Source organism: Homo sapiens, chromosome X, assembly GCF_000001405.40.
Source record: "Homo sapiens chromosome X, GRCh38.p14 Primary Assembly".
NCBI classification, from domain to species: domain Eukaryota; kingdom Metazoa; phylum Chordata; class Mammalia; order Primates; family Hominidae; genus Homo; species Homo sapiens.
In genome coordinates, this window is record NC_000023.11 from 142,601,391 (window position 1) to 142,624,968 (window position 23,578).

At 36.4% G+C, this 23,578-nt stretch overlaps 1 long non-coding RNA gene across 1 annotated transcript in view; it reads left to right on the forward strand.

Annotated features, from left to right (window-relative positions):
• The window catches only part of LOC105373345 (uncharacterized), a 78,282-nt gene extending 55,010 nt beyond the window's left edge, over positions 1-23,272 (forward strand). Inside the window, exons 2-3 of the long non-coding RNA XR_938605.2 lie at positions 21,671-21,775; positions 23,171-23,272. This is a non-coding gene — a long non-coding RNA (uncharacterized LOC105373345). The remainder of the gene's footprint in view (positions 1-21,670; positions 21,776-23,170) is intronic.
• Positions 23,273-23,578: the final 306 nt, after the last annotated feature.

Sequence of the window (23,578 nt, forward strand, 5' to 3'; positions counted from 1 at the left end):
CACACTTGTCTGGTGATAAAAAGGCAAACCTATCATTTAGTAAAATATATATTATAGAAAATTGAATAGAGATCAAATGAATGACATTCATTTTTCTATTCTGATATGGTCATTGCGTGCCAAAAAGTATCCTAGATACCGGAGAACACAACAGCAAGTAAACATCGTTTTTTATCCCAAGTGCTCACAGTCTAGTAGGGTAATCACAAAATGATGAACAAAAAATAGGTTTTGTAAAAGGTGTGGTAGAGCTTGTACTAATTGACTCGATGGGAGAAGAGCTGAAAAACATTTGTTTCACCTTTGCCAAGCAGAATGTTCTGAAATGAGAAAACTGTCCTCTTGAAGATATTTCTGAAAGCAGTTACTATTTACTGGACTCACTCTCCTTTCATTTTGTTGGCTTGATACGATATACTTGGGACCAACTCTCTACCAAGAGTGGTCATATTTTATGTAAAACTTTGGCAAATTTCAACAAACCACCTCTCTGTTTGCTGCAAAAGCTGCAATCAGGCAAAGCATGTAATATTATTGCCTGCTGTATTTCAACACCATGTCCATGCGTTATTACTTAAATCTGTGCCAGGTTCTCCTCTTCACATTCCACAGCTGCCAGTGGAGATAGCACAGTATCACAGTTATGTAGTCCAAAATGTTCCCTTCAATCTTGAAATCACTGAAGCATTTCCCTCTTGGAGTTAGAAAGTTAAAAGCAAAAGCAAAAACAAAAAAAAAAAACCATGTTAGTAACGCCGGAAATCAGTCATATACGTGGGCTTGACCTGGTGATCTAACACCTAGACTTTTAAGCTAGAACTGTAAGATGCACAGGACTTCTTCAAGAAACTCTTTAGGAAAACCCTCAGTCACAACATTGGCTATATGAGGCATGAGAAACAATGGCATTGAGGGCTAAATTGCTCCATTTGGAGATGTTGTATGCAAATCAAGACTCCCCCACCATTACTGACCATCTCTGCTCCTTCCTGCAGATCTCAGCTATTGCTTCTAAACCGTGAAATAGTTGTGATGATGAGTTAGAAACAGAAAACAAAATAAAAATTATTTACATCGATATCATTTGTTGTATGAACTATTACAAGAGGAACACTCTCACTTCCTCTAGTCTTGCTTTATCTCCTTGCCATCAGAATGAGCTTATTTTCTTTTTTTCAACTTTTATTTTAGGTTCAAGGGTACACATGCAGGTTTGTTATATGGGTGAATGCATGTCATAAGAGTTTGTTGGACAGTTTATTTCCTCAGGCAGGTATGAAGCCTGGTACCCAATAGTTATTTATCCTGATCTTCTCCCTCCTCCCACCCTCCACCCTCCGACAGGCCGCAGTGTATGTTGTTCGCCTCTATGTGCCCATGTGTTCTCATCATTTAGCTTCCACCTATAAGTGAGAATATGTAGTATTTATTTTTCTGTTCCTGCATTACTTTGCTATAGATAAGGGCCTCTAGTTCCATCCATGTTCTGCAAAGGACATCATCTCATTCCTTTATTTTATGGCTGCATAGAATTCCACAGTGTATATGAACTTTTTCTTTATCCAGTCTATCATTGATGGGCATTTAGGTTGATTCCAAGTCTTTTGTATTGTGAATAGTGCTGCAATGAACATAGGGGTGGCATGCGTATTTAGGATAGAATGATTTATATTCCTTTGGGTATACACCTAGTAATGGGATCGCTGGGTAGGATGGTAATTCTGTGTTTAGCTCCTTGAGGAACTACCACACTGCTTTCCATACTGGTTGAACTAATTTATATTCTCACCAACAACATATAAGCTCTCTCTTTTCTCCACAACCTCGCAGCATCTGTTATTTATTTATTTATTTGTTTATTTTTTTACTTTTTAATGATAGTCATTTTGATTGGTGTGAGATGGTATCTCACTGTAGTTTTTATTTGCATTTCTCTAATGATCAATGATATAGATTTTTTTCATATGCTTATTTGCCACATGTAGACCTTTGTCAGATGTATAGTTTGCAAACATTTTCTCCCATTCTGTAGGTTGTCTGTTTATTCTATTGGTACTTTATTTTGCTGTGCAGAAGCCCTTTAGTTTTAATTAGATCCCATTTGTCGACTTTTTCTTTTGTTGCGATTGCTTTTGGTGTCTTTGTCATGACCTCTTTGCCCATTCATGTGCCCAGAATGGTATTGCCTAGATTGTCTTCCAGGGTTTTTTACAGTTTGGGGTTTTACATTGAAATCTTTGATCTCTCTTGAGTTGATTTTTGTATATGGTGTAAGGAAGGGGTTCAGTTTCAATCTTCTTCCCATGGCTAGCCAATTGTCCCAGCACCATTTATTGGATAGCGGTTTCTTTCCCTATTGCTCGTTTTTGTCAGCTTTTCCGAAGATCAGATGGTTGTAGGTGTGTGGCCTTATTTTCAAGCTCTCTATTTTGTTTCCTTAGTTAAACTATGTTTCTGGCTTTGTACAAGTACCATCTTGTTTTGGTTACTGTAGCCCTGTAGTATAGTTTGAAGGTGGGTAGCATGATGCCTCCAGCTTTGTTTCTGTTTTTGCTTAGGGTTGCCTTGGCTATTCAGGCTCTTTTTTGGTTCCATAAGAATTTTAAAATATTTTTTCTAGTTCTGTGAAGAATGTCATCAGTGGTTTGATAGGAATAGAATTGAATCTATAAATTACTTTGGGCAGTATGTTCATTTTAGTATTGATTCTTCCTATCAATGAGCATGGATGTTTTTCCATTTATTTGTGTCATCTCTGATTTCTTTGAACAGTGTGTTGTAGTTCTCATTGTAGAGACCTTTCACCTATATGGTTAGCTGTATTCCTAGGTATTTTATGCCTTCTTATTTTCAAATGTATTTTTCAGACTGGTAAAATTTTCAGACTCATCAATCCATTTTCCTGGGCAATAAAGTTCAAAGTTTTTGTTGTGTTACACAAAGTCCTTTATGATAACATCTCCAGCCATAACTCTCACCATTCCGTTTCTTGCACCACAGACTCCACCTACCTCTCTATTTCTGGGACAACTTACCTAGCATTTATTAGTTAGCTTTATCATTAATTTATGCCCATTCCAAATAAAGGTAATCTTTTGACCTTTGTAACTCTACTCTCTGTCTACACTAATTTAACACATTTATTTCTGAAACATTGATATTCTCTATTAAACTAAAAGCTTCTTAATGGGAATGTCCCCCCACCCAGTATCTTTAAAAAATTCTCCTAGCATTGTACCTACAATATCGTTGGTACTCAGTAGATTTTTATTGGATGAATTAATAAATGCCCTGAGAAAATATTGATAGAATCCAATGATTTGGCATAAAATGATGCCCATACAGAGAAAGAATGAAAAATGTTTGAATTTGTTCTGTGTAAGCAAAACTCTGATGAAAAAGAGGTAAAGGTCATATTAGAGTGTGTTAAGGCAAAATATAGTCCTTTGAGAAAAATTAAAAATGTAGTATGACAGCCAGAGAAAATAGACTGTAATAGCCCTATTTATCTAAAACATAAATGTTTTCATGTTTAGAAAAAAGAATTTAAAGAATAATGGTTTGGGAAAATAGTGAAAATAATTGCTGCATATTACTAAGGAAGTAACAAGAACTGATCATCTGGCAACTGGAACTCAGCTCAAAGCTTATTTTTCTTCACACAATGCAATTTTTCTGATGTTATTATGGCAGGATATTCCAAAATGATGTTCTCTCTATTAAATACCACATACACGTAACAGGGAAATCCACTTCACTCCTTTAAATGCTTTGGTATAATAAGGTTGGGGTTCTAAAGAAGAAACTAACTCTTTGTGAAGAGAAAGGAAAACCAGCATTTTTTTTCCTCAAATATTGGTGAATAGAGCCACTGGTGAATTGTGCTGTAAGTCCCCAAAAGATAAGTTCCTGTCTCTGTGATGCCTGCATTCTAACACCAAAACAAATGAACAAGTTTCAAAGGTGATATTTTAAAGTTCTTATTGTACGCTTCTCTCTTTTGTTGGTACTATTTGTGAATGCACAGTTGACTGCCTCCTAAACTGGAGTACTTCATGGAGAACTTCGAGTGCAGGAGGCTACCCAGCATGTAAATAAAAGCTGGCAATGCTCACAAAGAATAGTGAGCAATGTTCTAAACCTGACAGTGGGTTTACCGGATGGAGAAAAGAGAGAGGACTTGATCTGGATTTCACAGAAAGGGTCTGAAGAACAAAGGAGCCATTATTTATCCTGACCTTCAGTTCAGCATCAAATATTGACAACACATCTATTTTATGTCATTCACAGTATGTGTGCCAAGAGTAGAGATAAGCACTATAAATATATCCATTGAACAACTTCATGCAAAGTACTGTAGAGCAGATGTGTTGCCTAAAAGTCTTGGAATTACCTATGTACTAGAATAAACCCCAACTAGGCCATGGTAAATGAATTTAGGAAACAAGTGTTTATCTATTACTCAACAAAAAAGCATTAAATATATACTATAAATAAGCAAAGCATTGGTAAGTAATGTGAGAAATACAGGACAAAAATGTTGACAACAATAATTAAACTCAAATTGCCAAGCTACCACTTGTGCAAGTCCAATCAATGCTAGATGCTATAGACTTGAGGCTGTGAGAAGACTGGGAGAGTCCCTTCCTCCAGAGAACTCATGCCTTTATGCTTACCTTATTATGAAGAGACAGTCATCCATTAATTTCACAATAATTTATTGAACACTTACTATTTTAGGCTCTGAGAATTCAGTAGTAAACAAAGTAGACAAAAACCTTGCCTTCCTTCTAGTGGGAAAATGTAGGGCCCAGCCCCACAGGGTCGGTGGGTCTCTCCCCGTGTGCAGAGATGAGAGAGTGTAGAAATAAAGACACAAGACAAAGAGATAAAAGAAAAGGCAGCTGGGCCCGGGGGACCACTACCACCAAGTCGCGGAGACCGGTAGTGGCCCCGAATGTCTGGCTGCGCTGTTATTTATTGGATACAAAGCAAAAGGGGCAGGGTAAAGAGTGTGAGTTATCTCCAATGATAGGTAAGGTCACGTGGGTCACGTGTCCACTGGACAGGGGGCCCTTCCCTGCCTGGCAGCCGAGGCCGAGAGAGAGAGGAGACAAAGAGAGAAACAACTTACACCATTATTAGAGACTTTTAGTACTTTCACTAATTTGCTACTGCTATCTAGAGGGCAGAGCCAGGTGTACCGGATGGAACATGAAGGCAGACTAGGAGCGTGACCACTGAAGCACAGCATCACAGGGAGACGGTTAGGCCTCCGGACAACTTCGGGTGGACCTGACATCAGGCCCTCCACAAGAGGTGGAGGAGTAGAGTCTTCTCTAAACTCCCCCCGTGGAAAGGGACCGGGAGACTCCCTTTCCCGGTCTGCTAAGTAGCCAGTGTTTTTTCTTGACGCTGAGGCTACCGCTAGACCACGGTCTGCCTGGCAACAGGCGTCTTCCCAGATGCTGGCATTACCACTAGACCAAGGAGCCCTCTGGTGGCCCTGTCTGGGCATAACAGAAGACTCTCACTCTTGTCTTCTGGTCACTCCTCACTATGTCCCCTCAGCTCCTATCTCTGTATGTCCTGGTTTTTCTGGGTTATGATTATAGAGCAAGGATTATTATAATATTGGAATAAAGAATAAGTACTACTAACTAATGATTAATTATATTCATATATAATCATATCTAAGATCTATATCTGGCATAACGATTCTTGTTTTATATTTTATTATACTGGAACAGCTCGTGTCCTTGGTCTCTTGCCTCGGCATCTGGGTGGCTTGCCGCCCACAGGAAAAGATAAGCAAATAGCTTGGCAAAATATGTAGTGTGTGGCCGGGTGTGGTGGCTCACACCTGTAATCCCAGCACTTTGGGAGGCCAAGGCGGGCAGATCATGAGGTCAAGAGACTGAGACTCTCCTGGCCAACATGGTGAAACCCCGTCTCTACTAAAAATACAAAAATTAGCTGGGCGTGGTGGTGTGCGCCTGTAGTCCCAGGTACTCGGGAGGCTGAGGCAGGAGAATCACTTGAGCCCAGGAGGCGGAGGTTACAGTGAACCGAGATGGCGCCACTGCACTCCAGCCTAGCGACACAGCAAGACAACGTCTTAAAAAAAAAAAAAAAAGTAGTGTATCATTCTGTGACATGTAGGGAAAAATAAAGTAAGGAATGAAGAGAAATGCAGGTTGGAGGCTTCCTCTCAGCCCCAGAGGCATAGGTAGGTTAGAATCCTGAGCAGTCCTGGTCCTCTTGTGATAGTTATTGTAAACCAAACTAATGGGCATAAAGTCATTTGTTTTGATGATCATCAGCTAAATGATCAAATGAATGTTGACAGTGAAGGGAGGGGTTATCACGAGATATGCAAAGATTTCTAGGGCATCCTTTCAGTTCTTCTAACTATGCGGAGTTCTGAGACAGGGCAATTGTAACTAGATTAGCAATCATCTGCTGGACTTCTGCTATGAAGTCAGGAGAAGCTTTGAGAGGAATGCCCTGATCCAGATCCCACCGAAAACAGGGATTCCCTCTTTGTCAAATTCAAAATGTCTGGAGGATAGAATATTAAGTATAAAACTGCAATGGCAGTTTTCTCAGTGTGGTTTTTTACTAATATTATTTAATTTAAAATGTTCAAACTTCAAATTAATATGTCTTCAAATTATAAAGTGGTCTTTAACTGAGGCAAGAATAGGGTCACAGAAACTAGATATTACCTTGAAGAGCAGAGCCAAGGACAGGCTACTGCTATGCTTCCAAGAGTCCTTGCTGACAATGAAAATAACCATCACTAGACTTGATAGAGGATTTTTACATACTCCTTTTCTGTAAGAGAAATCTATTACTAAAATTGGATCAACAAAACCCATAATTTATGCTATCTAGTCTCTGTACACACTAAGTCCATGATTATGGAAATAAGTCTCAGGAATCAGGTTGGTGAAATCAGAAATTTCATTCTACATCAAAGCTCACCCAAAGTTGACAATGTAAGAAGAGAAACAAGATGTGTAACCAAGTAACTACAAAGCAATAGGTTGCCAGTGTCAGGATATCTTTTTGAGCAGCAGCAGTGTTTTGGAGCCCTTAAAAAACTTCAAAGCAGTCAAATACCCTTGAGGTTTGCTTTAACCTGGGAGACTTTATTATTCTCATGATACTGTTTTTGGAGCAAAGTTGTCATTCATGAAGCTGCCACAAGAAAGATAAAGCAGGCAACAACTTAGGATTATTCAATAATGTAGCTTATTGACCAAGGTTTATGAAGTTCCAAGAAATTATTTGTTCTACATTTCACAATCTTTTCTCACTTTCAGACCCCACATAACACACTACCATAATCCCTTCCATTATTGGGAAGGATGAGATAAATCTGTGTACCACTGCAACTTTAAAGCCCTTAGTTAAGAAATATTTGCTGTCTGCCCATAAGCACCTCACCTCTGACTATCTTCTAGTAATCAGCACTCTAGTTTTCTGGGCTGTTCTAGACATCTTGGCACTTGCATCTCTTCTCCATGTACTGAATGGTTACATAATTAGAGATAGCCTACATATTAACTCGAAAAATTGTGAAAAGAATTACAGACAAAAGTAGGGTGGATTATGGGATAATGTTTTAATATTACTGGTTAAGGAAGTACAAGTTAGAAGGTTACAGTATTGCCTTATCCAAGAAGAAATGACCGCAGACCTATGATGCTTAGTGAGGTGTATAGAATTCTCTTCCAGTTTAGATTGGAAAGACACTAACAGTAGATGGTTTGGACTTGTGCCAAATGAAAAATCCACACCTTGTGTCCAGGAATGATATGGCACTAACACCTTTGAGAAGCTTTAGGCTTTTATCAGGTGGAAATGGTAGAGTCAGAGTGACAGTAGGGGCATGAATTGGGGAGGAAGTGATAAGGTTATGTCAGACAGGAGTGTTCTGACAAAAAGGCATGGAGGTATAAAGGTACAAATCATGTCAGAAGACAGTAATTTGATCAGTTTGCTGGGGGTAAAGTTGCAAACAAATGAACAGTTAAAAATGAAATTGGAAGTGTAAATTAGGGTCAGTTGTATGACTCTGAATGGTCAAAGATTGAAAACTAGATCTAATATCTTCACTTATAAGTAATGAATGACAGACTTGAGTTTTGAGCCTTATTTATTATTACACAGGAAATATCATCATCTTTTCCAAACAAAAGTTACCTTCAAAATTTGCTTTGGATACTAGAGAACATTGATCTCAGAAGGTACTATTCCTTTTGTGATGGGTGTCTATATTTTCACATGTAAAATGTACTCTCTCTAGAATAACCAATGATGATATTATAACTTTATATGTGTAATTACTACCGATGGTTTCAAAACGTTTTCCATCACTTTAATATCCTATTTGGAGCTCACGAGAATGTCCATGGAAAATACCAACACAGATTTATTAGAGTGAGACTGGAAAACTAACTTTTACTTTCAAATGGGTAACAAGGCCATTCTGTCATTAATTCTCCCCATGAATACTGAACTAATCTAACTCTCAAGAGTACTATTAATTGACAAGCACACAGTGACAGAATGTGTTATCTGTTTTTTGAGTTAATTTGTATTGATCCAAAAATATGTCAGTGGAAACTGCTGTTGCAAAACCGTCTCCCTCAAACTGCTGATGACTTTTATGTCAAGATTTCTAAAGATGACATCCTAAAAAATAAAATATAAAATTCCATGACTTTTAAATGAAAAAAGTCCTCTTTTGATAAATTGTGTGTATCAAAATGGCCTAAGATTGTCCAAGGATGTCTTTATGCATAATGAACTGGAAGTCTGAGAAAGAGAAACTCTGGTTTGTTTCTCTCTTTTTTTTGTATTAGAGAATAACTGTAACCATTTTCATATAAAAATGATTCTAGGTTGGGCTGTATACCACTAACTGATTTTTGTGCATTTATTAGTCCGTTCTCACACTGCTATAAAGAACTGTCCAAGACTGTAATTTATAAAGAATAGTGATTTAATTGACTCACAGTTCCACATGGCTGGGGTGGCCTCAGGAAACTTACAATCGTGAAGAAAGGGGAAGAGGCGTGTCTTACATGGCGGCAGGTGAGAGACTGAGTATGTGAAGGAGGAACTGTCAGACCATCAGATATCCCGAGAACTCACTCACTATCATGATAACAGCATGGGGGACACTGCCCCCATTATCCAATCACCTCCCACCAGGTCTCTCCCTCGACACATAGGAATTATGGGGATTACAATTCAAAATGAGATTTGGGTGGGGACTCAAAGCCTAACAATATCAATGCAAGTGACAAACTGTAAGACTCAGTGTCCTTGCCTATAAAATATGGGGATAATAATCAGTACTTCACTTGTATGCATCACCAGTCATGGGCTTTAAAAATAACCTGTGTATCAGTGATTTGTAGTCCATAAAATATTATAAATATGCATAGTATAATTACTATGAATTGCTACATTCCTAAAGCTGTCCAAATTACAACGTGTAATATTTAACTACAAAACAGTTATTTTTTGATAACTATTGTATGTTGCCTGTCTCTTTTACATAAATGTTCATTAGGAGAGTGACCTATATCTGCTTTTCGCCTATGCATCCTAAGTACCTAAAACAATGCCAGGCACATAGTAGGTGTTAAAAAAATAAATATTTACCAAATAAATGAATAAAAGCAGAGCATATTTTAATTTACTAACTTATGATGAGATTCTTGTACGCCTACATGATTTATTAAAAATCATGATATAGCCATGGAGTACTACTCGGTCACAAAAAAAGGAAAAAAAATGGCATTTGCAGCAACCTGGATGGAATTGCAGATCATTATTTTAAGCGAAGTAACTCAGGAATGGAAAACCGAACATTGTATGTTCTCACTCACAAGTAGGAACTAAGCTATGAGGATGCAAAGACATAAGAATGATACAATGGACTTTGAGGACTTGGGAGAAAGGATGGGAAAGGGGTGAGGGATAAAAGACTACGCATTGGGCGCGACGTATACTGCTCAGATGAGGAATGTGCCAAAATCTCAGAAATCACCACTGAAAACTTATTAATGTAACCAAACATCATCCGTTCCCCAAAAACCTATGGAAAAAAATAAAAATTATAAATTAAAACGATGGTACAGGACATCATTTTTGTCTTTATTTTGAAAATATTTTAATGTTTCATATACAACTATTATATTCTATATATATCAAAATAAAAATTCTAAGGGGTTATTGGCACACAGTTGTTCTAGACTAATGTATATCAGACACACACTAAATTCTCTGCTATATCAACTCTTCATTTTTGACTTCAGGTATTTTTAAAATTATATAATATTTCATACAAAAAAGAAAATACAAAATGTAAGTTAAGGTTTAACGAATTGTAAAACAAAGGCTGTCATAAGCACCAGTTTTCAATTATGTTTGTTTTCAATTTAGTTTTCAATTATAACTGTTGAACCCTCACTTTGTACCTCTCCACAATCACATCCTTCTCCCCTCATCCCTCTGTCAAGATTAACTATTATTCAGTATTTTGTGTTTATTATGAACGTGTATGTTGGTATAGTTTTACTGTGCAGATATGCATACCTGATGTACTTTTAAACTGTGTATCAATAGTATTATATTGCATACATTTTTGTGACATACTTTTATCTATTCATGTTCATGAGAGATATAGGTATATATCAATACATAATATATATTAATATCTATCAATATCTATCAATCAACTGACCATTTATTAAAATCATATGTATTACTATTACAAATGATGCTACTGTGAACACTATTCTCCATGTGCAAGAGTATTAGTAATGCAATTTTGCCCCCAAAAGGGACATTTCATAATGTCTGGAGACAATTTTGGTAATTATGGTTGGGGATAGGTTGCTACTATGCTCCTGGCACCAATGGAGCAGAGATCAAGAAGTCTGTTAAACACTCCACAATACATAAGAAAGCCTCCACAACCAAGACGTACGTGCCCCCAAATGTAAGTAATGCACAGATAGAGAAGCTCTACTCTAGGTCTTACTATATCTATGAGTGGAATTTCTGAGTTTTCTGTTATACACATATTAAACTTTCTTTCCAAAGCTGTTATCTCAACATGCACAGTATATAATAGCTCCTCTTACTAAGAAAGTTAATAATTATTGCTAAACTTTAACATAATTGCCTGTATTCACTCTTTATCTCCTCTTTGTAAAAGAAAATGTGTAATATTGGGATGACCTGTTTCCTGAAAATTTTGCAGGACTAATCTGTAAAACAATCTAGTCCTGGTCTTTTATATTCAGGAATATTTTAAACTCACTTAATTTCTTTAATACCTTGTTATAGTTTTCTAGATGTTAGTCTATTGCATGTAAGTTTTAAGTGTATTATTTTTCACTTTTAATAACTTTTACTCTTCTGTATTTGTGTTTGTGTCCAACTTTAGATTAATACTCTACCTCTCATTTTTTTCTTGCTCAATCTTAGCAGAGGTTTGTTATTATTCTTTTTTATGCATTAAAATTATTGGCTTTATTGATTCTTCCTGTTTTACTTTGTTTTCTATTTTATTAATATCTGCTGTAATTTTTATTATTTACTTTTTTATATTTATTGTTTTGTTACTTTTATAATACCTTCAGAAATACATTTAACTCATTCAGTTATGGCTTGAATCTTTTCATAGTATAATGATATTGATATATCTTTGTATTGTATTCTATATTAATTTATATATGAAAAATGTTGAATATTCATTATCATTCAGCTCTACTCAATGAAGTTCTCTTATTGTTTATTTTTTTCATGCAAATATTTGGAAAATTGTTTAATACATTCCAAACACATGGGATTTTTCAGATATGTTAGTGTTACAATCTATAATTATTGAATTTTGATCAGGAAATTTTATCTGGAACCAGGAACTGGAGGAACCTGGCTAAATAGCAGCCTCTACCAACTGTCCTCCCTGCAGGACCACCAAAATAACAACTACCTACCAAAAAAGCACCTTCAAAAGAACAAAAAATCAGGTGAAGGAATCATAATATCTGATATTAACTTCATATTGCTGAAAGAGGCACTGAAGAAGTTAAGAAAAACAGTTTTCAGTTGCTGACACCACTCTTTCTCCATTCCCCTGGCAGCAGCTGGATGGCAAGGTGAAAGAATCTGTGTGTTTTTGAGAGACAGAGTGCACAAATTGTTGGACTTTGCATTGGAACTCAGTTCTCTAAACACTGGGCAGAACTCAGCCAACATCCATAATGCAGAATCCCATCTCATATATATATATATATATACACACATATATATGTATATGTATATATATCTATATATGATATATATACACACACACATATACATATATATACACACATATATATACATATGTACATATATGTGTGTATGTGTGTGTGTGTATATATATGTATATACTCTGTTGCTTTTGTGTGAAGTTGTTTTAGAGTTCCCTCATCTGTTATTTTTGCTGACATTACTTCTATTACTTTTAAGTATTTGTCTCCACACTTTGAAAAACAACGTAAATGTTGAAATTGCTAAAATCTAAACTTGTTTGCAATTCCAAATATTTATTAATTTCCTTCTATTATGTGCCTCACTCAGTCTAGGATAAAAGAATGGGGATACACCAGTGAGGTTAGCCAACTTTTACTGAGGGCTCAGTACAAGTTAGGCATTGTTTTGAGTGAGTTACATTTCTTCACTCAATCAATCTACACAACAATGCTAGCAAGTGGCTGGTTTGATGTACATTTTACAGATGATAAAAATATAGTGCAATGATATTGAATAACTTAACCACGGTCACACTGCAAGTAAGGTGAGGCACCAAGATTTATATGTAGATAGTCTGTCTTCAGAGCCTGTGTTCTGGAGTACTCTTCCCTACTGCCAGTACTATAGGGACAGAGTTATCAACTAACAATAATAACAAAGAGAAAGACAGTTTTGATGCCAAACCTTTTCTTTTGCCAGAGTGGTTTGTTTTCTGTGTTATAGATATATAGCAGAATAAAAGGCTCCAGTCTCATCAAAGCAAATTGATTACTTTGGATGCTTCTTGTTAGTCTTCATATACTGTTTTGGGTGTAATTTAATTACTTTTTGCTTTGATTTTGCCCTTGTCAACCTTTTTGAGAGTAAGGATAATACCGATTTTATGTGTTTTCACTTATTTTAATACATTCCCATTTGGTGGCCAATAATTAGTTTGTTTAAGTGGCCTTTTGAAATCACATTTATGCCTAACTGACATATAATTCTAGGTTCTGACATTTCTGAGTATTGATTTAAATTCTTTTTTGTCTTAACTTCTGGGAAAACTTTCACAAAATTAAATAATAATTCCTCAAATTAAAGCAAATTTGGAGGATCTTCATTCCCATGTGTAAAAGTAAATTTGAAATATCTGACAGCAGCTGAAGTGGATCCTTAAACTCAGCTGTATTAATGTCAAAAGTCTGCAAAAGAATATTACAAAAGCTAAGTAGAAGATTAACTAAGGAATATAACAAATGTCACAAGAAATGAAATAGGATTTGAGGGTTTAGAGAGTTTGATACTGTAACCAAAACGAGAAAAATGGCAACATGGTGCTTGAATTGCAGGGCTCTGAAAATGAATGTTTTTAAACCCTTGAAATGAATTGAACTTAGTATACAAGCCCATGGAAAAAATATCTTTCATGAAATACACATGCTAGAATTCCTTCTGCAATCATAATATTGTCATGCTTTCCTGTGAAAAGTAATTTATAACAAATTATGTGAGCCACCCCATAAAATATTTTGCATGTAATCCTTAATTGGGTAAACTTGAGACATTGTTTTTTAAAAAAAAAATTAGAAAGAAAATGGCTCAAAATATCACTAAAATTGCTATGTAATGTTTAAGTGCTTAATTGTTATACAAATGAAATTTATATATATATATTAAAACCTAGCCAAAATAACCCAAAATAACCGCACCGCAATTGCACTTGCATTGATTGGCTCTCCTTTTGCAAAAGGTTTCTTTGTAGCATATGATGCTATTTGATATCATTTTACGCGAAGTAGAACTTCTTTCAAAATTGGAGTTCATTACTATAAACATGAAAAAAGCCTAAGCTTTGCCCCCTCAGGACCTGTGTTTCCCTTGGTCTGAGGTGACAGGACAAGGATCATTAACACCTGTAGCCAAGAGTATGTCTATTTTTTTCATTGTTTTCACCCAGCTTTTTCTAGAAAGTCCTACCCTAAGACAGAGGCATGAATGCACTAAAACACACACACACACACGCACACACACACATACACACACATACTTTTGCCCTCAAAAACCCAGAAAACCCAGCAGACAAAAATCAGTTTATTTATTAGCAAATAATTTTATATGGTTTTGATTTGTGTCCCGACCCAAATCTCATGTTCAATTGTAATCCCCAATGTTGGTAGGATGTGATTAGATCATGGGGGTGGATACTTCACGCATGGTTTAGTACCATCTCCTTGGTACTGTTCTCACAATAGTGAGTGAGTTCTCATGAGATCTTGTTGTTTAAAAATAGCACAGCACATCTCCGCTCACTCTCTCTTGCTCTTACTCCTGCCATGTAAGATGCCTGCCCCGCTGTGCCTTTTACCATGAATAAAAGCTCTCTGAGGCCTCTCCAGAAGCAGATGCTGCCACGCTTCCAGTATGGCCTGCAGAGCCATTAGCCAATTAAACATCTTTTCTTTATGAATTAGTCAGTCTCAGGTTATTTCTTTATAGCAATTTGAGAATTTACTAATATAGGATTGGACAAACACTAGGTATTAATCAAGAAAATAATATTTTCTTCTCTGACTTTATGTTCCCAGAATTCTGTTACATTTTATTTACATGTGACAGATAAACATCATATGTGTATATAGATGAGAAGATACTTTGTTTGAAAAGATTATTGCCACAAGCCGTGGTAGAGTCTAGCAATAAAATGAGAGAGACTATTGCAACAGGGAGAACACTTCAACTATAAGGTCTACAAGTATCCCAAGATTCATGAAGAAAAGAATTTTATTTTATAGGGAGACATAAGCAAGGCTAGAGAGAACAAAATATGGTAGAGGGGATGAGTGGGTAGTTCTATCAGACACTTGAGCTGGAAAGGAAGTGTTTCTCTTTGGGGTCAAGGTCAGCCTATTCTTGGAAGGAACCATTACATTGGCTTTGTTTTGCCTTCCAATGCTGGCTCAGGCTGAGGGAGGATAAAAAATAAAAATTCAGTGGTGGTTGGGGCGGGGGGAGGATAGAAATTTAAAGTTTGACCAAGTCAAGTTAGCAGATATTTTTATAAAATTGTTCAGTGGCTACAAACAGTTCAGTTAATCATTTATGAGAAAACAAACGGAAATTTGACAGTTCTGTTGTCTGGTCTGGTCTTAAGTAAAACAAGGTCCTCTGTGTCTCAATTCAGTCATGTGGGGAAGGGTGTGTGGTTCTTTTCAGTAAACCCTTTTCTGGAAGAAAAAAGTGGGAAAGAGGTTCTTAATCTCACTGTTTTCTAAAAATCAGAGGTCTCAGAAAAAGTTCTACATTGGCAAATGTAAATGAAAAGATGACATATCGGGCAGTATGTTAGATAATCTGCCAGTTTGAATGTCTCCTGTGAATAATGAACACCTTTTCTATATCAAACCATCTGATCCTAGCACAGCTTCACAATTCTCGCTTGTATCAAATTACTCAACCTTAGAGGTCATCTTCCCAGTTGGTCACTGAATTTGGGTTTCCTGTTTTATCAAAAGCAAGATATTTGCTTATCTTCCATCTCACCTTTCCATCACCATAATAGTTAGAAGAGGTCTTTTAATCCAACTGAAGATTGATGAGTAGCTTTCATATATGTTTTATTTCAGAGGACTAATATTAAGGAAAGTTTGAGCAAGCATGAGGAAAGATGCTTAAGTGATCAGTAAGGCTTAACAAATGTTCATGCTGGGAAGATGAAGTTATTAACTTAGACCATTTGGGGGTCACATGTTCAGACTGCAGCCAGGATTCTAAAACTGAAATGTTGATCTTTAATGCATTTGACCTCTCAGGACTGTTTTTATATTCTTTGAGAAATACCTCACAAGGCCATTTGCTTCCTGCACTTACATCGAATCTATCAAAACTAGCCCTTAGTGACTCAGCCTAGAACAGACTTTTAGGGAATGTGCTGACAGAGTCAGTAACTTACATGTATGTAAAATGACTGGCAGGGCTTAATATGTGAGCCTCCTGAAGGAAGTAATTTTTTGTTGTAGTTGTCATTTTGTTTGTTGCTTGGTTGTTTTCCTTCTTCCTAGGAAAAGCATAAGAAGCAGAAATTGTATGTTACTTAACCAACAGTAGAGGGTTCTGTGATATTTTTATCTGGTCTGACCACTTTCGTGCATCACAAAATACTGGGAATCTCTATGCTGATGTGTACCCATTCTGAAAAATTAAAAAGTTTAAGTCATAGCAATTTTATGACCTTGTGGCCAGCTGAAGGACTTTTTACTGAATCAGGCCAGGGTGAGCAAAGGACAAACATTCCAACAAGCTCTCTGTATTTGAATTTTCTGGTTTTCCCGAAGCCTGTGCCATGACTAGTCCTGCCTTCAACCTTCCCACAGCTTCCTGTTACCACTCTGACCTCATTTTCTAATACAGGCATACTTTAGAGATACTGCAGGTTAGGTTCCAGACTACCATAATAAAGCCAATGTCATAATAAAATGAGTCACACAAATTTTTGGTTGCCCAGTGCATATAAAAGTCAGGTTTACACTATACTTGGGTGTATTAAGTGTGCAACTACATTATGTCTAAAAAGACAATGTACACACTTTGATTTAAAAATAGCATATTGATAAATATGCTAACAATTACCTGAACCTTTAGTGAGTCATAATTTATTTTCAGGTGGAGGGTCTTACCTCCGTGTGGATGGCTACGGACTACTGACTGACCAAAATTTTGGTTGCTGAAGGTTGGAGTGGCTGTGTTAATTTCTTAAAATAAGACAGCAATGAAACTTGCTGCATTGATTGGCTCTCCTTTTGCAAAAGGTTTCTCTGTAGCATGTGATGCTATTTGATAACATTTTACCCAAAGTAGAACTTCTTTCAAAGTTGGAGTTCAGTGTCTCAAATCCTGCCACTACTTTATCAACGAAGTTTATGGAATGTTCTAAATCCTTTGTTTTTATTTAAACAATGTTCACATCGTCTTCACCAGGAGTAGTTTCCATCTCAAGGAACCACTTTCTTTGCTTATTCATGAGAGGCGACTCCTCATCCATTCAAGTTTTACTAAGAGATGGCAGGAATTCAGTCACATCTTCGATCTCCACTTCTAATTCTAGTTATATTCTCATTTCCACCACATTTGCGGTTAATTTCTCCACTGAAGTCTTGATGCCCTCAAAGTCATCCATAAGGGTTGAAATTAACTTCAATCAAACTCTTGTTAATGTTGATGTTTTGACTTTTTCCAATCAATTAAAAATGTTCTTAATAAGATCTATAATAATGAATCATTTCCAGAAGATTTTCAATTTACTTTGCCCAGATCCATCAGAGAAATAACAATTTATGGCAGCTTTAGCCTTAGGAAATATGCTTATTAGATAATAAGACTTGAAAATAAAAATTACTCTTTGATCCATGGGCTGCAGAATGGATGTTGTGTTAGCTGGCATAAAGACAACATTAATTTCCTTGTACATATTCTTTAGAGTTATTGGGTAACCAGGCATTGTCAAAGAGCAGTAATATTTCAAAAATAATATTTTCTAGGTAAGGGGTCTCGACAATGGGCATAAAATATTCAGTAAATGATGCTATAAACAGATGTTTTCATCCAGGCTTTGTTGTTCCTTTTATAGTGCATAAGCACAGTAGATTTAGCATAAATTTTAAGGGTCCTAGGATTTTCAGAATGGTAAATAAACATTGGCTTCAGCTTAAAGTCAACAGATGCAGTAGCCTCTAACAAGGGAGTCAGTCTGTCCTTTAAAACTTCAAAGCCAGGTATGCACTTCCTCTCTAGCTGTGAAAGTCCTAGATGGCATTGTCTTCCAATAAAAAGCTGTTCCATGTACATTAAAATCTGTTGTTTTGTGTAGTCACCTTCATCAATGATCTTGGCTAGAACTTCTGGATAACTGGCTGCAACTTTTACATCAGTACTTGCTGTTTCATCTTGCACTTTTATGTTATAGAGATGGTTTCTTGCTTTAAATCTAATGAACCAACTTCTGCTAGCTTCAAACTCTTCTTCTGCAGCATCCTCACTTTTCTGAGCCTTTATAGAATTGAAGAGTGTTAGCGCTTTGATCTATATTAGGCTTTGGCTTAATGGTATGTTGTGGCTGATTTGATCTTTTATTCAGACCATTAAAACTTTCTCGATGTCAGCAATAAGGCTGTTTTGCTTTCTTATCATTTATGTGTTCACTGGAGTAGCAATTTTAATTTCCTTTGTTAACTTTTATTTTGCATTCACAACTGGGATAATTGTCACAAGAGGCCTAGCTTTTGGCCTGTCTTGGCTTCCAAAATGCCTTCCTTACTAAGCTTATCCGTTTCTAGTTTTTGATTTAAAATGAGGGATGTGAGACTCTTCCTTTCACCTGAAGACTTAGAGGTCATTGTATGGTTATTAATTGGCCCAATTTTGCTATTGTCGTGCCTGGAGGAATAGGGAAGCGCAAGGAAAGGGAGAGAGAAGGGGAAAGGCCAGTTGGTGGAGCGGTCAGAACACACACACAACAATTATTAAGTCTTATATGGGTGTGGTTTATGGCGCCCCAAAACAATTACCATAGTTAACATCAATGATCACTCATCACAGATCATCGTAACAGATATAATAATGAAAACGTTTTGAAATATGGTGAGAATTATCAAAATGCAACATAGAGACACAAAGTGAGCAAATGCTTTTGAAAATATGGAGCCTATAGACTTGGTAGTTGCAGGGTTTTCATAAACCTACAAACTGTATAAAATGCAATATCTGTGAAGCACACTAAAGCAAAAGACAGTAAAAATGGTATGCTTGTATTCTCCCCACATCATTCTGCTCTGTTTCCCTGTATAGGCCAGGTATGTTCCCGCCTTAGGGCCTTTTGTAGCAGTACCCTCTGCCTGGAATTGTTCCTCCGCAGACAGTAGCTTGACTATTCCCTTATCTTCTTCATGTTTTGGTTCTCATTCATAGTTAGAACTACCCTGAACACCTTAGTTAAAATTGCAACCTGCCTCTCTGTTTCCACACTTACATTTCTGATACTCTTTTTCCTGCTTTACTCATTATTGTACAGCAGTTATCATATTTTTACATACCATATAACTTATTTATGTTTACCATGTCTTTCTCCTAAAAAGCGAGAGTGGGATTTTGATAATTATTGTTGTATTTATGGCATCTGGAATCATGCTCAACACATAGTAGATAATCAATAGTTACATTAATTAACTATGTTAAATGCTTTTTAATAATAAAAGGGCATACAATATAATTGAACAGCCCTTTATTATACAAGACTATTTCTAATCTATATATATTCATCCTGAACCTGACATTTTGGTATTAAAAAAATCGACCTGCTCAGACTTAAGAGACTTGTAAGAACTTTTGTTTGTCTTGGAGATTGAGACACTACTATATGTATTACATATCTTTCTTCTATTGCCATTTGTAATAGATATTATATATTTCCTACTTTAGTTGTCTTTTCAGATAATAGGAAAGGTTAAAATTTAGTTTTTAATGATATCCAATATGCTTATGAACAAAAATGTAAAAAACGTTCTCTTCACTTCCACTGGTCAGATACACTTAGTCATGATTCTGTCGTACCATGGCTATTCTCTCCCGTAAATGCGCTTATCTTTTCTTGCCCAGAGCAGCCCTTCCTCATAATACCTTGTTAACATTTAAAATGGCTGACTTAAGTCAGGAGATAAACTGTTAAGGAGGGGAGTTGCAACTCTGGAAATAATAGAATGCAAACTCTCACTTTATTTTCACTAACTTGTAGAGAAGACTGATTATATTTGAAGAAAGGTAGTCAATAGTTGCTGGAAGGAAAAGTAACAAAAAAAATCAATTCTAGCTGTCTCTAAGAAGGAAAGTAAATCTGAAAAACAAATGTTCATTCGGGGTTCCTAACCCTAAGAGGGCACATGAAGGGAGTCATAGTCTGTTAATCCCAGAGATACCAATTCCACAGATTGGGAAATTCAGGAATACCATATTGTTAAGAACTTATCGAAATAATTTTCAGAGCAAACAGTGAAAATGTTTGCTCGCTTTGGACTGTTCATCTCAAAGGAGCCTTGGAGGTGCAATACTACAAATCCACAAAATCTCAAAGGCAAGGCTAAAGGCAAAAAAAGAGAAGGGTTTTGGTTTACACAAGCTGACAGTAACTACATGATATTCTCACTTCTTCTTTCTCAAAGCCCTAACATGAAAATCAATAGAGGACATGCCACCAAGATTTACTAGACGATTAGTCAAAATAAAATGTAAGGAAGCAGAATTGGCTGGACTCATTCAGGCTAGAGAAGATGACCAGATTTCTGCGATGGATAGTTACTCTTTTAAGAATTATTAAAAGAAAGATGACATCTACCTATTTTTGTTTGAAAAGAAACAGATTTAAGCTAAGGACAAAGTAGAAAATTTAGCAAGAAAGATGTCCTTTCTTTTAGAGATCAGTAAGTCCTCAGATGTTATGATTTAATGTCCAGATGGGTGTATCTCTTGCCCTGAAAAGTTACTTGAACAGTTTTCCCATGTTCCTGTGCTTGAGGATTAACTCGTGAAGAGGATGAATGCTTAGGCACTTTTGATTCAATACAGGCATTTGTGTTCCACATCACTCCTATCTCTTACTTTTCTGTCTCTTTCATTTCTTGCAGTAAGTGCTAGTATTGCTTTGTGAAATTCTACTTTCCAACCTCTTCATTCCAATATTAAGAAACATATTCACCAAGTATTGCTCATGTGCCTAGACAATAAGGATACATATTGAGATGGGTAAAACAGACAAGACTCTGTCATCATGGGACTTATATTGGGATAAGATGACAAGAGAAAGGGAATCTACAACATAATTGAATACAGCAAGTAGTAGTATGATGAACAGGGTGCTGTGGTGGGCAGCGATGGGGTGTGTGTGTGTGTGTGTGTGTGTGTGCATGGGGTGAGGTTGAGTTCTGATAGGGAGTCAGAAAAGGCCTCTCTGAGGCAGTGACTGGTGAACTGAGACCTAAAAAAATGAGCAGAAAGCATTTCTGTAAAGAGACAGGAGAAGGCAGAAGAAAGAACATGCTCAAAGGCCTGGAGCTAATCTCTTAGTCTGCAATCCCAGGCCTCCTCAATATCAGTGTATTTAATTTGACTTTTTAAAAAACCCACATGTATCCTCTGATAAAATGGATATATAAAACTTGGGCATTTTCCCCAAAAGGCAAGCAGTCATCCCAAACAAAAATTGAGATTGAGTTGTAAGAATTAATATTTTATTAAGTCAAACATTCAGGGATAGTTGCTAATCATGACGCACTGGAGCAGAGATCTGAAGTTTCACTTTTCATTCTGATTTGAACAGAGGGTGATAATAGAATACAGTATGAGACATTTCTGTTGATGGGTAAGAATCATCACTCTGAAACAAGGCTGCCTGAATCTGGATCCTGGCTCTACCGCTTTCCAGGTCAGTGGTCCTGAACAAGTTATTGAAAACTGCTCTGAGCTTTGATGTCATCATCCGTAAAGCATGGATAATATGGATAATACTTCAGAGAGTTGTTGTAATAATTAAATGTGTTTATATTTGTAAAGCACAAAGAACAGTACCTGACACACAGCAACTATTAAAAAAGTGTTAAGTAACAATAAAATGAAACAATTATTTATTATGAATAACCTGAGATAAATGTTGGTGCAGACTATAAAATGTCTTTATAATGCTTGCTGCAGGAGACTTATTTGACACGTTATGGATTAAAAATACATTACTGCAAATCTATAATTATGTATGAGTTTAATAAAAGTTTTCCTTTATATTCCCCATAAAGGGTATGGTAAGTAAATTATTAATGTAAAGAAGTATGCTGTGTATGTTAAAGTTTCTTAAGGGATATACTAATTACTAACTAGTATTATATTTTCGTTTAATTTATTTGACCACATTCTATAACATTTTACGTTATAATAATTTACACCTAAAACTGTCATTATAATTGTATTTAAAATATACATATAATTTGTATGTGTCAATCTAACTTTGTGTATTCACTTCTCATTATTATACATATAACTTATGTAAAAAAAAAAAAACAGAAGACAAGATATCTCGGGTTAGGCAATTTCCAATGTGGTGTGTTTTCTAAATTAAAAGCAGACTCTCAGTTTTCTTTTTTCTTCCACTCCAATCCTAAACACAACACAAAGATCATAGAATTTTTTAAGTGTTGAGAAGTACTATACCTAACATATGCTTCCTGAAACTCTCAGACGTCATATCTTTATGTGTATTAGTCCATTCTTGCACTACTGTAAAGACATACCCGAGACCGGGTAATTTATAAAGAAAAGAGGTTTAATGAATTGGCTCATGGTTCTGTAGGCTGTACAGGAAGCATAGCAGCTTCTGCTTCTGGAGAGGCCTCAGGGAACTTACTCGTGGCGGAAGGCAAAGCAGGAGCAGGTGTCCTACATGTCAGAAGCAACAAGAAGGGGGGTGTGTGGGGGAGCTGCTGCACACTTGTAAACAACCAGATCTCAGGATAACTCTCTCACTGTTGCCATGACAACGCCAAAGGGGTGATGTGAAACCATTAGAAACCACTCCCACCAGGCCCCACCTCCAACACTGGGGATTAAAATTCAACATGAAATTTGGGCGGGGACACAGATCCACACAATATCACCATGTCTGACATTCTTGCCGTGGTGTCAGTGCCAGGAATCACGGAACATCTGAACATCTCGCCATGCACCTCATCCTGCAAGAAGACAGTTCTGCTTAATATTGTGAATAACTAATTTTCAGTCATTTGTGTAATTATTTTTCTTTCTCTCTTTCTTACATGATATCTACACAAAGCAACATTGTGAGGATTCAGCAAGTCTAGAATTATAATCCCTAATATTTATTTTTTAAGTAAAGGATGGGATGTCTGCTAATTTCAAGTCAGCACCAAACTGGGTATGTAAACCTTGCTCATGTGTCCTATGTACTGTTGTAGTGAGACTCTTGTCCCTGTTTATGAATCCTATTATGGTCATAGTTCGGTCTTTCATGTCGTATCAAATCTCTCACCATGTGCGGGCCTTCGGGGATGGTGGCATGTGTCACTGTACGAGTGTTTGCAACTTTTCAAACAAGCTTGTTAACACTGAGTCATCTGCCTACTTAAAACCCTGAAAATATATTCAGATTTTTTTTCCTGATTCCTGGTAAATTAAAGCTTAAAAAAAAAAAGACCTGGCTGTCAATCAACTATAATTAAAT